The following is a 16008-nucleotide window of genomic DNA, read 5'->3' on the forward strand; positions in this document are numbered from 1 at the left end:
CAGCACTTTGGGAATCCGAAGCAGGAGGATCACGAGGTCAAAACATCAAGACCATCCTGGCCAACATGGTGAAACCCTGTTTCTACTAAAAATACAAAAGTTAGCTGGGTGCAGTTGCACGCACCTGTAGTCCCAGCTACTCAGGAGGCTGAGGCAGGAGAATTCGCTTGAACCTGGGAGGTGGAGGTTGCAGTGAGCCAAGATTGTGCCACTGCACTCCAGCCTGGAGACAGAGTGAGACTCCGTCTCAAAAAAAATAAATAAATAAAATAAGTAGGCAAAAGACATTAATAGACATTTCTCAAAAGAAGATACAAAAATAGCCAACAAATATGAAAATACACTCCATACCACTAGTCATCAGGGAAATGCAAATTAAGACCACAATGAGATACCACCTTATGCCAGCCGGAATGGCCATTATGAAAAAGTCAAAAAACAATAGATGTTGATACGAATGTGGTGAAAAAGGAATGCTTAGACACTGCTGATGGGAATGTAAAATTAGTAGAACCTCTATGGAAAACAGTATGGAGATTTCTCAAAGAACTAAAAGTAGATTTAACCTAGCAATCCCACTGCTGGGTATCTACCCAAAGGAAAAGAAGTCATTATATCAAAAAGACACCTGCACACACATGTTTATCACAGCACAATTCAAAATCACAAAGATATAAAATCAACCTAAATGCCCATCAAACAATGTGTGGATAAAGAATATGTGATATACCTGAGGTCAGGAGTTCGAGACCAGCCTGGACAACATGTTGAAACCCCATCTCTACCAAAAATACAAAAATTAGGTATGGTGGCAGGCGCCTGTAATCCCAGCTACTCAAGAGGCTGAGGCAGGAGAATTGCTTGAACCTGGGAGGTGGAGGTTGCAGTGAGCCGAGATCACGCCACTGCACTCCAGCCTGGGCAACAGAGCAAGACTCTGTCTCAAAAAAAAAAAAAGTGCTATATCACATATATATATATGATATATGTAATTGTGGTGTGTGGATATATACACCATGGAAATATATTCAGCCATGAAAAAGAGTGATATAATGTCTTTTGCAGTGACTTGGATGGAATTGGAGGCCATTATTTTATGTGAAGTAACACTCAGGAATCAAAAATCGAATGCCACATGTTCTCACTTATAAGTGGGAATTAAGCTATGGGTATGCGAAGGCATACAGAGTGGTAAAATGAGCGTTGGAGGCTCAGAAGAGGGGAAAGTGGAGGGTGAGAAGTGGGTGAGAGATGAAAAACTACCTATTGGGTACTATGTACACTACTTGGGTGATGAGTGCACTAAAATCCTAGACATCACAACTATACACACATAACCAAAAACCATTTGTACACCTAAAGCTATTGAAATAAAAGAATAGTAAATAAATAAATTTAAATTCTCTCTTCTCTCTTCTCTCTCTCTTGCTTCTGTTCTTGCCATAAGATATACCTGCTCCCTCTTTTCCTTACACCATGATTGGAAGCTTCCTGAGGCCGTCACCAGAAGTAGATGCTGGCATCATGCTTGTACACCCTGCAGAACCATGAGCCAGTTAAATACCTTTTCTTTGTAAATTACCCAGCCTCAGGAATTTCTTTGTAGCAATGCAATAATGAACTAACACAAATTCCAAAGAAAGTCAAACATTGAAAAGCAAGCACTAGTAACTAGCATTTCAAATCTGTGAAATAAAAGATACCAAATTATAAACAACAGTGGAATCTTACCACTGATAAATACAGCTCTGGTTACTGTTGTTCACTTTCTTTCTATTTCCAATAAGAAAAATCAATTTTGTTAAACTTAAATATGAGACACACCCAGAAAGATGCAAGTTGTGCCCACACAAGTTGATGAAGTTTGGCAGTTGGGTTTTCTGAGACCCACTGAGCCAGGCTGCAGCTAATTTGTCCCAACTGCCTAGCAGCCTGATGCACGAACAGAATCTGATCCACCAGGACCACTGGCCTCTACTCTGAGGAGTGTCTACAGGAGCATGGTCACTACAGACCTGATGTGGAGATTGACAAATTACAACGAAATCAACCCCTGGGGGAGCTGGTGATGTTTGTAGCACACATTGGTCACTGCCACCCAGATAATCCAAGTCACTTTTTTCAATTGCTGAACGATCTGCTGTGCTACAGCCACACCGTCTTGGATCCAGAACTTCAATGACATTTTGCAAATCTTTGATCTTCCTTTGAAATAAGAATCACAGCATTCAAAGAGTTGCAGTTACAAGCTTCTCAGAAGGCTTGTACACTCAGAGTGTGGCTGATATCAAGAATATAAATGTAAAATACAAGAACAATAAAGTGAATATAGGATTTCAGAATTCCACGCACACCTAAGAGACAGCAATGCCATCACAGCTAAAATATCCTTGTGTGTAATGATTGAACTCAATGGAAGAAACATTTGGAATGCTGCCCAAACTGTCAGTGTTATCTTAAGTGTGTGTTTCACTAAAGTCACCAAGATACAGGCTGCTGCTTTGAAATTCTTCTAAGGAAACGGGGTGGCAACTCAGGATCTGAGTATGAAGGACCTTCCAGCGTAGATGCCACAGGGAGGAGAAGCTTCAAACGCAAGGCTGGAACAGGCTTTGGAAGTGCTGATACTAGAAGAAGAAGAAGAAATAAAAGAACAGTAGCAGAGATATTTAAATTTCCAGCCATTACTTGATTAATGATCCTCAAAGTTCTGCAGAAAAATGACTAAAGCAGCTGGAGAGCTGTAAGGAGAGGTATGAAGTGAGGCTGATGCCCAGGAACCTAATCTCCAGATTGGTGGAAATTTATGGGCTTTTTCTCTTTTGTGTTGATCCTCTCGTGCGGAGATTTCTGCAGCCTAATCGAAGAGAAGTAATCAGATCCTTCTGTCTGCTCCACAAGTAGGTGGCCAACAATTCTGTAAGGGAGAGGAGCCCTGGGGTGTCATGACAGTAGGAATCAATGCTATAAAAAAAGTAACAACTTGATACCCTCACATTGTGACTAAAGAACCCCCCAGTTTTGGCCCAGTGAGGAATACACAAACATAAAGATGTGATCATTTCTGCTAGGATTTTGATTCTGTTCTTCTGAGTGCCAAATTCTCAGATACTACAGAAGAGATTCTGAGACAAGCCTACAGAGGCCTCAAAAGAAGCAAGAGTGCAAGAATATGGATAACTAAATGCTACAGATTACATTTCAGGAGGGGGAATTCTGAAGTCAAGAAAGAGAATGTTGTGAACAGTAAAGAAGGGTGGGGAAGTACCAGTCCTGAGGAGGAGGGAGATGCCCATGGTGGGTGGGTTGACGTGTGTCACTCTTCTGTGAAAAACAGCAGGGACTTTCCAAGGAGGTGCCCAGCATGCCTGTGGAGGAGGAGGGAGCCAAATCTGCTGCCCTCAGCACCAGTTGCCTTCTAAGCCAGGAAGACTTCCAGAAAATCTACATGGCCCAACTGTATAATGAACCCAGGGCTGCCCTGGGAAAGCCACAAACTGAAAGATACTGAAATAAACAGCATTGATGGGCCAAGAGACAAGTTACTGTCAGTTGAGGATATTGAACGCTTTAAAAAAAAAAAAAACACTCATCTTCAGGAAGACTAGCCGCTGCAGTGGCTGGAAAGACTGACTGAAAAGAATATGTTAGAAAGAAAACCAATATGAGTGCAGTTTCCAGTGCCCCAAATAAAGAGAAGAAAACTAACTTTATATGATAATGTATTATAGCCAGAATGTCCAGTCAAAAAATAGATGTTCCTTCAGAAAAAAAGCAACTGGCACCATGAGATGTACTTTTGGAAAAAAGGGAAATAGAATAAATTATCTTCCAAACCAGTTTTTCATTCCAAGGATAATGCTGAATTTGTGTAATTGCTCTGAATATTAGTCAATAGTCAATCCAAAAATATTTGCTTATGTTTAAAAGTACAGAGATAAGATATTTTTGAAAACCACAGTTTGTAAAAAGATAAAGGGAATTTTATTTGAAGGACAGGATAACACAGTGGCTATTTTGGAGGGTGTGTGCTGCAGTGGGGTGCATGCATCGTTACTATTGGTTGCAGACTCAGATCTGAACAAAAAGATATAGTCAAGAAAGTGTGACTTCTTCATCCCGTCTGCCTCAGTCCCCAGCCCCTTCCTACCTCTTGCTCACCCACACCCTCTCAGTAGCCAGTCTTTTCCATTTTAGGTTTATCCATCCTCCATTTCATTTGCAAAAAATGACCACATATATGTTTTCTTAGGCTCCCATCATACTTACATGAGGATAGCATACGGTAGGTAGTCTTTTGAACTTTACTTTTTCACTGAATAGTATGGCCCTCAAAATTACTCCATATTAATTCATAAACATCTTCCTTATTATTTTTCACAGCTGCATAGTACCCTATTATGTGGAGTTGCCGTGATTATTCAGCTATTCACCCATATATATGAACATTTAAGTTGTTCTCACTGTTGTGCAGTTATGTCACAAAGAGTAACAATTGCATATGTATTTTGTTTTTTTTTTTGGTTTGCTTTTTTTTGTTTTTTTTGTTTTTTTTGTTTTTTTTTGAGGCGGAGTCTCCCTCTGTCGCCCAGGCTGGAGTGCAGTGGCGCAGTCTTAGCTCACTGCAAGCTCCGCCTCCCAGGTTCACGCCATTCTCCTGCCTCAGCCTCCCGAGTAGCTGGGACTACAGGCGCCCGCCACCATGCCGGGCTAATTTTATGTATTTTTAGTAGAGACGGGGTTTCACCGTGTTAGCCAGGATGGTCTCCATCTCTTGACCTCGTGATCCACCCGCCTCGGCCTCCCAAAGTGCTGGGATTACAGGCGTGAGCCACGTGCCCGGCTGTATTTTGTTTTCTTGGAGGTATATCCTCAGGGTAGATTCCTAGAAGTGGGATTGTGGATATGTACATACTTAGTTTTGTTCAGTTTTATCAAATTGTGCTCTAGAAGATGGTAACAATTTAGATTCCCAGCGGCGGTGTAGGAGAGTATATTTTCTGACAGCCTCAGACAACACAATGTGTCTAAATTATTTCCAGTCTCACAGGTGAGAAATGGCATGTCAGTGTTGCTTTAATTTGCATTTCTGTAATGATGAGTGTGTTTGAACATTTTTTTCATAAGTTTGAGGGCCATTTTTGTATCTTTGTTGTGAATTATCTCATGACTCTTTTTCCATTTTTCTATCAGAATTGTCATTTTTTATTCCTCAGTAGTTAAGAATTCTTTACCAATTAGGCATTTTAACTTTCTGCCCAGGGTATATGTTGCTAAGATTTTTCTATCCAATTTTTAAGTTGTCGTCTAACTTAATCAGGTATTTTAAATCATGTAACACTTTTATTTTTACTTGTTATTGTTATGTATTCAAACATAGAATCTTTTTTTCATTGCCTCTAGATGTTGAGTCATTGCTTGAAAGACTTCCTTGTACCAAGGTTATAAAGGAATTCACCTATGTTTTCCTGTAGTGTTTGTATGATTTCACTTTTTAACACTTAGTTCCCTAATTTATGTGAAGTTTATTCTTGTGTGGTATGAGATATGAATCTAAATTTATCTTTTCTAAGTTGTTATCTGAACATCATTTACTTAAAAGTCCATCCTTAGGCCAGGTGCAGCGGCTCACACCTGTAATCCCAGCACTTTCAGAGGCTGAGGCAGGTAGATCACCTGAGGTCAGGAGTTCAAGACCATATGGAGAAACCCCGTCTCTATTAAAAATACAAAAATTAGCCAGGCGTGGTGGCACGCGCCCGTAATCCCAGCTATTTGGGAGGCTGAGGCAGGAGAATTGCTTGAACCTGAGAGGCAGAGGTTGCAGTGAGCCGAGATCACGCCACTACACTCCAACCTGTGTGATAGAGTGAGACTCTGTCTCCAAAAAAGAAAAAAAAGTCCATCTTTAAACTTGAAATGCCGTCATTATCATATACTAGATTTCCATGTCTATCAGAGTCTAATTATTACTTTATCCCACTAGTCCAGTGGTGTCCAGTCTTTTGCCTTCCCTGGGCCACACTGGAAGAAGAATAATTGTCTTAGGCCCCATATAAAATACACTAATGATAGCTGATGAGCTAAAAAAAAAATTGCAAATTAATCTCATAATGCTTAAAGACAGTTTACAAATTTATGTTGAGCTGAATTCAAAGCTGTCCTGGGCTGCATGCAGCCGGCGGGCTACAGGTTGGACAAGCTTGCACTAGTCTGTTCGTGTTTCCATGCCTAGATACCACATTCTTTTAATTATAGAGACTTCATGGTATGTTTTAATGTCTAGTGGGGCTGGCCTTTCTTGTGTTTTCTTTTTCCAAGCTATTCTTGTATGTTTGTTTTTACATATGAACTTTTGCATCAATTTGCTCATTCTATAACATAGTTTATTGGCATTATTACTGTATTGCATTGAATTTATAAATTAACTCTGGAAGAAATGACATCCTATAATGTTGGGTCACCCTATCCAAGAATGCGGAATGTCTTTTCATTTATTCAAGTGTCTTTCAGAAGTATTACAAATTTTTCCTCATATATTTTTCACACACATCTTATTAAATGAATTTCTAAATTTTTAATCATCTTTGTTGTTATTGTAAATGGCACTTTCTCCACTATTATTTATTTTAACTTTTGTTTGTATGTATTCAAGTTATTGGTTATTGTATGTTAATTTTATATCCTGCCAGTTTGCTGAATTTTTTATTAGTTGAGTTACTTTTATCAGAGACTTTGGGGTTTGTCAGATACACTATTATATCATCTGCAAATATACAATGTTACTTTACTCAATCACACACCTCTAACTGATTTTACTTTATAAATAAGTTTCATTGACTAAAACCTCTGCTCCACAATGTTGAGTAGCAGTGGACAAAGTGGATATCCTTGCCTTGTTTCCAATCTTAGTGGAAATGCTTCTAGTCTTTCTGTATTAAGTAAAATACTTGCCTTAGGGTTAAAATACATCATTTTACCATGTTAAGACAGCATCCCTCAATGCCTATTTTCTAGAATGTTCATTGATCATAAATGTGTGCTGAATTTTGCCAAATACTTTTTCAGCATCTATGAAGATAATATGATTTATTTTTATTAGATTAATTAGTATGATGTTAATCATTCCTCACTTAAAGTCAATCTTGCATTCCTGGAATAAATCTCACTTTATCAAGGTATATTATTTTCTTAATGTGGTGTTGCGCTGTGCTTCTTTCTGGTACTTCTATTTAGAATTTTTTGCATTCATGAGTAATACTAGCTTATAGTATTTTTTTCCTTATGCTTGCTTTTCTCATTTAAGTATCAGTGCTAAGCTTACTTACTTTCAATACTCTGGAATAATTTACAGAGCATTGTGACTATCCAGCTTTTGAAAGTTTGTTAGAATTCGCTTGTGACACCATCTGTGCTTGGTTCTTTTATGTGGGGTAGTTTTTTAACTTCCCCATTTCTTGTATAAACACAGGTCTGATCAAACTTTCTCATTTAATGAGATCAATTTTAGCAATCACTATTTCCCTGTGGAACTGCCTGTTTCATCATGGTTTTCAAGCTTATTTGCAGAGTTCTGCATAGTTGTCTCTCCTTTTTTATTTCTTCTAATTCAATGGTTACTTTTCACTTGTCATTCCATGTGTTGTGTATTTGTGTTTTCTCATTTTTATCAACTTAGCTAGTGTTTTATTTATTTTGCTAATTTTCTCAAAAAACAGAATTTTGATTTATTAGATCTCTTTTATACTGTTTTCTTCCTTGTTAATTTCTGCTTCTATCTTTATTATTTCCTTCCTTGTGCTTTCTTTTGACTCACTTTGTTGTTCTATTTCTAGGCTTTTGAATTACGAACTTAGTTCTTTTTTTTTTTTTTCTAAACAGAATTTTCGCTGTGTTGCCCAGGCTTCAGTACAATGGCACGGTCTCAGCTCACTGCAACCTCCGCCTCCTGGGTTCAAGCAATTCTCCTGCCTCAGCCTCCCAGATAGCTGGGATTACAGGCATGTACCATCATGCCCAGCTAATTTTTGTATTTTTAGTAGAGATAGGGTTTCACCACGTTGGCCAGTCTGGTCTCAAACTCCTGACCTCAGGTGATCTGCCCACCTCAGCCTCCCAAAGCGCTGGGATTACAGATGTGAGCTACCACGCCCAGCCAGTTGATATTTTTATTGACAGAGATGTTTAGTACAATGAAATTTCCTCTTGTCACTGCTTTACATGCATGCCACAGATTCTAAAATATAGTGTTTTCAAGTCATAATTTTCCTTAATTCTGTAATTTCTGTTTGTATTTCACCCAAAAGTTATTTAAAGAGAGACTTTTAAATTTCTGGGTGAATGGGTCTTTTTGCTTTTTATTTGTGTCAGCAAATTCTAGATTTATTGTATTGTGTTTAGGGAGTATTATGTGTGGTCTTTCTACGTTATGAAAGTCATTGATGTTTGTTTACCTTGTGCCCTGATGTGTGATCAGTTTCAGTGAATGTGCCCCGGGCACTTGAGGAGAGTGTGCATCCTCCATTATCAGGACTTCACCGTCAGTATATGTCATAAGACTTGCCTTGTTGAGTTCTTTTTAGGTCATCTCCTCACTTGTTATTCCACTTGACCTGTCTTGTACTGAAAGTTGTGTATTAAATCTAGCATTATTAGTGTGTTCTGTGGGTCCTCACATCTTTTATTTTTGTTTCATAAAGGTGGTGTCTGTGATATTTGCGGGATAGGTATTTGTAAATATTATGTCTGTGTTGTGGGTTGTAATTTTAGCATTAAAAATCTTTTTTGTCATATTTAACGCTTTTGACTTGAATTCCACTTTGTCTGATATCAGGATTTTTATCCCAGCTCATTTAGTATTCATTTCCTGCATTACTTTTGTCCATTCCTTAAGTGGCTTCTCACTAAGTCTCCTCATCTGTCCTCTCCGTGGCCTTCACTCACCATAATTCCTGTGATGGAGCAGGTGTGTGAGAAGTTGTAGTCCTGGCACTTGTTAATTTTTCTCCCTCAACTCACAGTTCTGCCTTTAAGTAATGCAAGGGTGTGTTTTTCTTTCTTTCTTTCTCTTTTTTTTTTTTTTTTTTTTTTTTTGAGATGGGGTCTTGCTCTGTCTCCCAGGCTGGAGTGCAGTGGTGCGATCTTGGCTCGCTGCAAGCTCCACCCCCCAGGTGCAAGCTCCACCCCCCAGGTTGACGCCATTCTCCTGCCTCAGCCTCCTGAGTAGCTGAGACTACAGGAGCCCACCACCATGCTCGGCTAATTTTTTGTATTTTTAGTAGAGACGGGGTTTCACCGTGTTAGCCAGGATGGTCTCGATCTCCTGACCTCGTGATCCACCGGCCTCGGCCTTCCAAAGTGCTGGGATTATGGGCGTGAGCCACTGTGCCCGGTCTGTGTGGAATTTTTATGGCTGTGAAACTATTCCTTAGAGTATGGGGATGACCTTTTGGGAAACTGATTACTATATAGCCAGCGTGGTCATCAGCCACCCAGAAGTCCATCCTTTTCCAATTTAATAATGCTATGAAATTTTAAAAATTCATAGCATTATTTTAATGGCTATGTAATATTTCAAGGAATACATGTATAATAATTTGATTCACTAATTGAAATTAGATTTTTTCAGTTCAGTTAATGCCACAATTCATAATTCAGGCTACCCTTTTATATTTAATAGGTTATACAATAAATTTTTGTTAAATAAATGAAGAGAGGAATGAATAAAAGATTGTGTAGGATGGGATGGGCTGAGAAACCAGTTGGCAGGTAGGATAGTGTTCTAATGGATGGAATATATATATATATATATATATAGAAATGAGGACGTTGTTTAACCTTTACAATGATTGATTATTACAGTCAGGGTTTCCAGATGGCAGAAGATTGGTTAAAAGTGATCATCTGGCTGGGTGCAGTGGCTCATGCCTGTAATCCCAGCACTTTGGGAGGCAGAGGTGGGCGGATCACTTGAGGCCAGGAGTTCAAGACTAGCCTGGGCAACATGGCAAAACTCCATCTCTACTAAAAATACAAAAGTCAGCCGGGTGCCTATAGTCTCAGCTATTCAGGAAGCTGAGGCAGGAGAATCGCTTGAACCCGGGAGGCGGAGGTTGCAGTGAGCTGAGATCATGCCACTGCACTCCAGCCTGGGCGACAGAGCGAGACCCTGTCTTTAAAAAAAAAAAAAAAGTGATCATCTTACAGCATTTTTGGAAGGCTGTGTAAGTTTTGCATATGATTATCAGGGACATTTACTAGAAATAACCTAAGTTTCACTGGCATAGCATAACTAGCTTTGTCTGCTCAGGAAATTCTCAAGCCTGGTCTCTTATTTTATTTCATTTTATTTTATTTAACACAAGTAAAGGTCATTAGTGCCAGGCTTATGAAGTAGAACTGTATAATACAAGATTTTGCCACAAAAGTAGTAGAGCTAACAAGCACAGCTTTGTGCTTCCAGCCCAGTCCTTTCTCTGTGATACCACATTTGCAACAGCAGAATATACGTTTCCTTTTTTTAAAAGGACTTTGCAATATTTGTTTCTAAATGATTTTATTTTAAATTAAAGATATCCTGAGGAACAAAAGAAGTTTGCTAATGAGACACATTGTATATAAGGAAGAATTTGATGGTATTTTCACCAGAAAAACCCTTAAGCTAATTTCCCAAACTTAATTAATCAGATCACAAAACCATTAACTTTTTCTCTTTGTACCAAAGCCTTTCATTAAAAATGGTGCTGTACAGATAGCTCTTTTCTTATCAACAAGGTAGAATTTAAATTTTATTTCTTAAAGACCTCTACTGCAAAAGACGATTACATCCTCAGCTCTAATCAATGTCCAACTAGGTTAAAAAAAAAACCGCTAGAATATTAATAAAAGTTAGAAGATTAATTACAAACTCCATAACTATTGAAGAAAGTGCAGTTGCCTCTGAAGTGGAAAGCGTATTTAAATTTAAACATGCAGGGTCTATTTTTAATAAAATGGAGGTGGGATTTTATTCACCGCTATGCCTTTGCTCAAGTAGTTTCCTTTACCTGGAGATCCCTGTTCTTCCTTCATCAGGGAAGCATGAACGCTTTCTTTTTTAGTTTTCTTTTTTTTTTTTTTTTTTTGAGACAGAGTCTCGCTCTGTTGCCCAAGCTGGAGTGCAGTGGCCTGATCTCAGCTCATTGCAACCTCCACCTCCCGGGTTCAAGCAATTCTCCTGCCTCAGCCTCCCCAGTAGCTGGGACTACAGGCGCACGCCGCCACACCCAGCTAATTTTTATATTTTCAGCAGAAACGGGGTTTCACCGTGTTGCCCAGGTTGTCGCGAACTCCTGATGAGCTCAGGCAATCTGCCCGCCTCGGCTTCCCAAAGTGCTGGGATTACAGGCGTAAGCCACCGCGCCCAGCAGGAAGCATGAACTCTTTCTTCCAAATCAGTTGCAGGCATCGCGTCTCCGGACGCTGCTCTTAGCCTCGATGGATGGACCATGGATTCCTAGTCAAGACTCTCTCATGCTTGCATCCCAATGCTTAGCAAATTGTCCTGAAACCAGGCTTACATGCTTTTCTTTTTAGTGAACCACAGAATTCTTTAAGCTGTGAGCTATATCTCACTCATTTGCACATTGTCAATGCTTAGCACAGAACCTTGTACATAAAAAGCATGCAATAGATTTGTATTGAATGGAACCATTCACTTTCCTGCATTTTCTTTGATTTGAGGAACAGTTTATGTGGATTTGCTGCTCAGACTTACTATGAAAATAAACTTATTTGTTGACTATTTTATTGATATAATAACTATAGAAAAAAAATTGTCACAGTTCAACCCCTTATACTTAATAAGGCCTCCTAGAATTGTAAGATGAACCTCTAGTGAGCAAAACAGTGAACTCTTACTGGATTAATTATTCCAATTATTTCTCAATTTTAAAGTCAGATAACTTGATAGTCACCATTAAATGCAAATCAGTGTTTATATAATAAATACATAGGCATATCAGTGACCCAGAAGAGATAAACAGGAACTCTGAGTCTCAGATGGGGAAAATAACATTACAAATACCAAAAAATAAAGTGAAGCTTTTAAAAAAAAAAAGGAGATGTAACATAGAGAAAAAAGTCAACTTTATAACTGGCACTCTTGCCAAAAATATTTATTTATTTAAATGAAGACTCACTGGAGGGTTTTAAATACAAATTAATAAAATTAAGAACACTTGGATGACCATGTCCAAAACGGATCAATGCATTAATAGAAAGGCTTTACTTAATGTCTACCAGGTATCCAAAAATTTTTATGAGAACTGTTAGGGTCAGAGGGGACACACACAAAAAAAATTATAACATATGACTTATTTTCTCAACTTCCTTTTTTTTTTTTTTTTTTGGAGAGGTAGTCTCACTCTGTCGCCCAGGCTGGAGTGCAGTGGCGTGATCTCGGCTCACTGCAAGCTCCGCCTCCCAGGTTCATGCCATTCTCCCGCCTCAGCCTCCCGAGTAGTTGGGACTACAGATGCCTGCCAGCACACCCAGCTAATTTTTTGTATTTTTAGTAGAGACTGGGTTTCACCGTGTTAGCCAGGATGGTCTCGATCTCCTGACCTCATGATCCGCCTGCCTCGGCCTCCCAAAGTGCTGGGATTACAGGCGTGAGCCACCGCGCCCAGCCTAATTTTTGTATTTTTAGTAGAGATGGGGTTTCTCCATGTTGGCCAGGCTGGTGTCAAACTCCTGACCTCAGGTGATTGGCTCGCCTTGGCCTGGCAAACTGCTAGGACTACTGGTGTGAGCCACTGTGCCCAGCCTCAACTTACTTTTACAGATAAGAATATAGGCCAGACATGGTGGCTCACACCTGTCATCCTAGCACTTTGGGAGGCCAAGGCTGGCGGATCACCTGAGGTTAGGAGTTCGAGACAAACCTGGCCAATATAGTAAAACCCCGTCTCTACTAAAAATACAAAATTAGCCGAGCGTGGTGGCGCATGCCTGTAATCCCAGCTACTCTGGAGGCTGAGGCAGGGGAATCACTTGAACTTGGGAGGCGGACATTGCAGCGAGCGGAGATCGCACCATTGCACTCCAGCCTGGGCGACATGAGCGAAACTCTGTCTCAAAAAAAAAAAAAAAAAGAATATAAAGCTAACATAAACAAATTGGGGAACTCCTAATTTCTTAAGTAGATGATGAAGGCTGTGCTCTAGGAAGATTAATCCATGAGGCCTGGGTTAGAAAGTGTGGAAGCATCAAAGAGGAATTGGGGAACACATAATTATGAGTGCCTGAGGTGCGTGTGTAGCTGAGTGAGTGGGAGGTGTGACCTCACCCTCACATGTCTGGATGGCACAGGGTGAGTGAGCACCCACAAAACACCTGCTGAATAGATGAAAGAGCTGGAAGGCAATGGGTCTAGAGCTCAGGTGAAGGGCATAACCTTGGATACAAAAGTGAAACAGAAGGCATGGCAAAGACAAAAATGTCTTAGGGGAAGGGCAAAAACAGGAAGGTGTTCTTCCACAGTGATGCCTGTTTTCCCCGTGGGGTAAGGGGTGAGCAGCCCTTCTGAGAATAATGGCAGAGAAAAGTTTCAGGATATGATTTATCTTCTAGGTTAACTTTGACCATTAAAGTGAGCCATTCGTAAGATGGTCTTTCACAAATCTCACATTTCAGAATGCAAGATTCTTAGGTGGTTAATAACCAAAAGAATACAAGTTTAACCATGAATAGGAAAACTATATTATTTTGGGCAAGTATTTAAAATCTTAAAGAAGAAACTCTTAAATAATGTATTTGTACATATATTGATATAGGTTAACATATGTTTGACACAATTAATTTTAATAATACAATAGATTTAGACTTAAAAGTTGCAAAGTTTAATCACAGAATCAATCAATACCACTAATGGTAACAAATACCAAGTCTTTAGATACTTGGTATTGTAGGGTTGACGTGGCATGTGTAAAAATAGAGATTTGGACACTGCTTGTAGTGAACAGTTTATAATAAACTGTTTTAATTCTTCAGGTCCCAAAATGGTAGAAGTCCAGAATCAACAGTTTCAGATCAACTCCAACGACGGCAAGCCACTATTTACTGTAGATGAGAAGGAAGTTGTGGTTGGTACAGATAAACTTCGAGTAACTGGTATGTACTAACTCGAGAAAAACACAACATTCCATGGAGTACACATCTGCAAAAACACATTGTACTATTGACAAGTTTATGTGGAATCTTTCAAGCAGATAAGAGAGTTTGAATGTGTTGCATTTTCTCCATTGCATTTCTGTTGAACTCCCTCGATGCTCTCCTAGAAGAACAAAATCCTCCCCACAGATCTTGGCCCACCCTTCTTCCATCACAGTTTTACCCTTTGTCCCTTCCTTCCTCCCTTCCTTCTTTTTTTTTTCTTTTTAGACAGAGTCTCGCTCTGTTGCCCAGGCTGGAGTGCAGTAGCACAATCTCGGCTCACTGCAACCTTTGCCTCCTGGGTTCAAGCAATTCTCCTGCCTCAGCCTCCCGAGTAGCTGAGACTACAGGCACCCGCCACCATGCCTGGCTAATTTTTGTATTTTTCGTAGAGGCAGGGTTTCTCCATGTTGGCCAGGCTGGTCTCAAACTCCTGACCTCAAATGATTCACCCACCTTGGCCTCCCAAAGTGCTGGGATTACAGGTGTGAGCCACAACACCCTGCCACCCTTTGTCTTTTTCTAATTGGAGTAACCCACAGACTCATCAAATGTCACTATTATCTGTGCAGTTCAAGTACCTGTTTCCCAAGTTTCTTTTATTCTCATCACATCATGTACTTGAATTACTCATATTTCTACAAAAAAAAGTTCTCTTTTTGAACTAAAAGTTGAATAGGGGTCTCATAGCACTCATTTTTAAGACTGAGAAGAGAAAATTTTATGAAAAAAATGTTTCAGAACATATTCTAAATTCACTTGCCAAAGACTAGAAGACACAGGCAGATACTTGTTAAATCTATCCCAGTGCCTTTCTGTACTACTGTGAAAACCAATAGCAATGTTATTGTCTCACACAATACTACCAATACTCCCAAATGAAAAAGAAATAATATTTCCTGGCCAAGGAAGTAGACTCCACCCTATTACAGGCCCTAACAAACTATAAAGATCATAACCTAATGTTGCATACTCTAAGACAGTAATGTATCTGGTTTTGTTACTAAAATGAAGGACACTAGCGCATTTAATTAACGGAAATTGGTAATTGTCCAACAAAGCACCTTAAGCATCAGAAATGCACTGTTGTGTAGGATAAAGAATATGGGCTGGGTAGACTTGGATTCCATTCCTACCTCTGCAATTACTAGCTGCGTAATTTCAAGCAAGTTAATTTTTATTTTCTGTTTCCTAACTTCTAAAAGTGAGTTGATAATATCAACTGTACTATCATTGCTGGGTTAAGTGGATTAAATGTGCAAAGGACAGCAGAGTTCTTGGTAGAGTATCATTGTACTGCAGGGCAGTGAAATCTGCAGGGAAAATAGTCTAACAGCTTAGTTCACTTCAAACCCAAGCCCTCCTACTCAGAGAATCAATAAGATGAACTTTTCCTTAGCCCAGGGCTCCTTCCGGGCCATGACATCAATTAGAGGAACAGGTGAGAAAAATTGATAAGCAACTGTATTATTTATTACCTGTATGCATGCATCAGAGCCATCCGGAGGGTTTGTTTAAAATATACTGCTGGGGGCCAGGCAGAGTGGTTCACACCTGTAATCCCAGCACTTTGGGAGGCTGAGGTGGATGGATCGCTTGAGCTCATGAGTTTAAGACCAGCCTGGACAACATGGCGAAACCCCATCTCTACAAAAGAAAAAGTACAAAAATTATCCAGGCGTAGTGGTGCGTGCCTGTGGTCCCAGCTACTTGGGAGGCTGAGGTGGGAGGATCACCTGAGCCTGGGAGGCAGAGGTTGCAGTGAGCAGAGATTGAGCCACTGCACTCCAGCCTGGGCAACAGAGTGAGACCGTG

The 16008-nt window shown here is 39.7% G+C and overlaps 1 protein-coding gene and 1 pseudogene across 5 annotated transcripts in view, besides 1 other annotated feature; both read left to right on the top strand.

Moving 5' to 3' along the window:
• SGCG (sarcoglycan gamma) overlaps positions 1 to 16008 on the top strand; it is a 164655-nt gene that overhangs the window by 104820 nt on the left and 43827 nt on the right. For all 5 annotated transcript variants that reach the window (NM_001378244.1, XM_047430542.1, NM_001378245.1 and 2 more), the window contains one exon: positions 14032 to 14151. In NM_001378244.1, coding sequence (NP_001365173.1) covers positions 14032 to 14151 — 120 coding nt within the window. The remainder of the gene's footprint in view (positions 1 to 14031; positions 14152 to 16008) is intronic.
• Positions 1909 to 3814, top strand: SDAD1P4 (SDA1 domain containing 1 pseudogene 4; annotated as a pseudogene).
• Positions 3144 to 3353: an enhancer, noted in NCBI's record as "active region_7449". NCBI's record gives its function as "activates an Ori minimal core promoter by ATAC-STARR-seq in GM12878 lymphoblastoid cells {active_cell/tissue: GM12878}" and the evidence as "EXISTENCE:reporter gene assay evidence [ECO:0000049][PMID:35858748]".

Source organism: Homo sapiens, chromosome 13 (genome assembly GCF_000001405.40).
Source record: "Homo sapiens chromosome 13, GRCh38.p14 Primary Assembly".
Taxonomy (NCBI): Eukaryota; Metazoa; Chordata; class Mammalia; order Primates; family Hominidae; genus Homo; species Homo sapiens.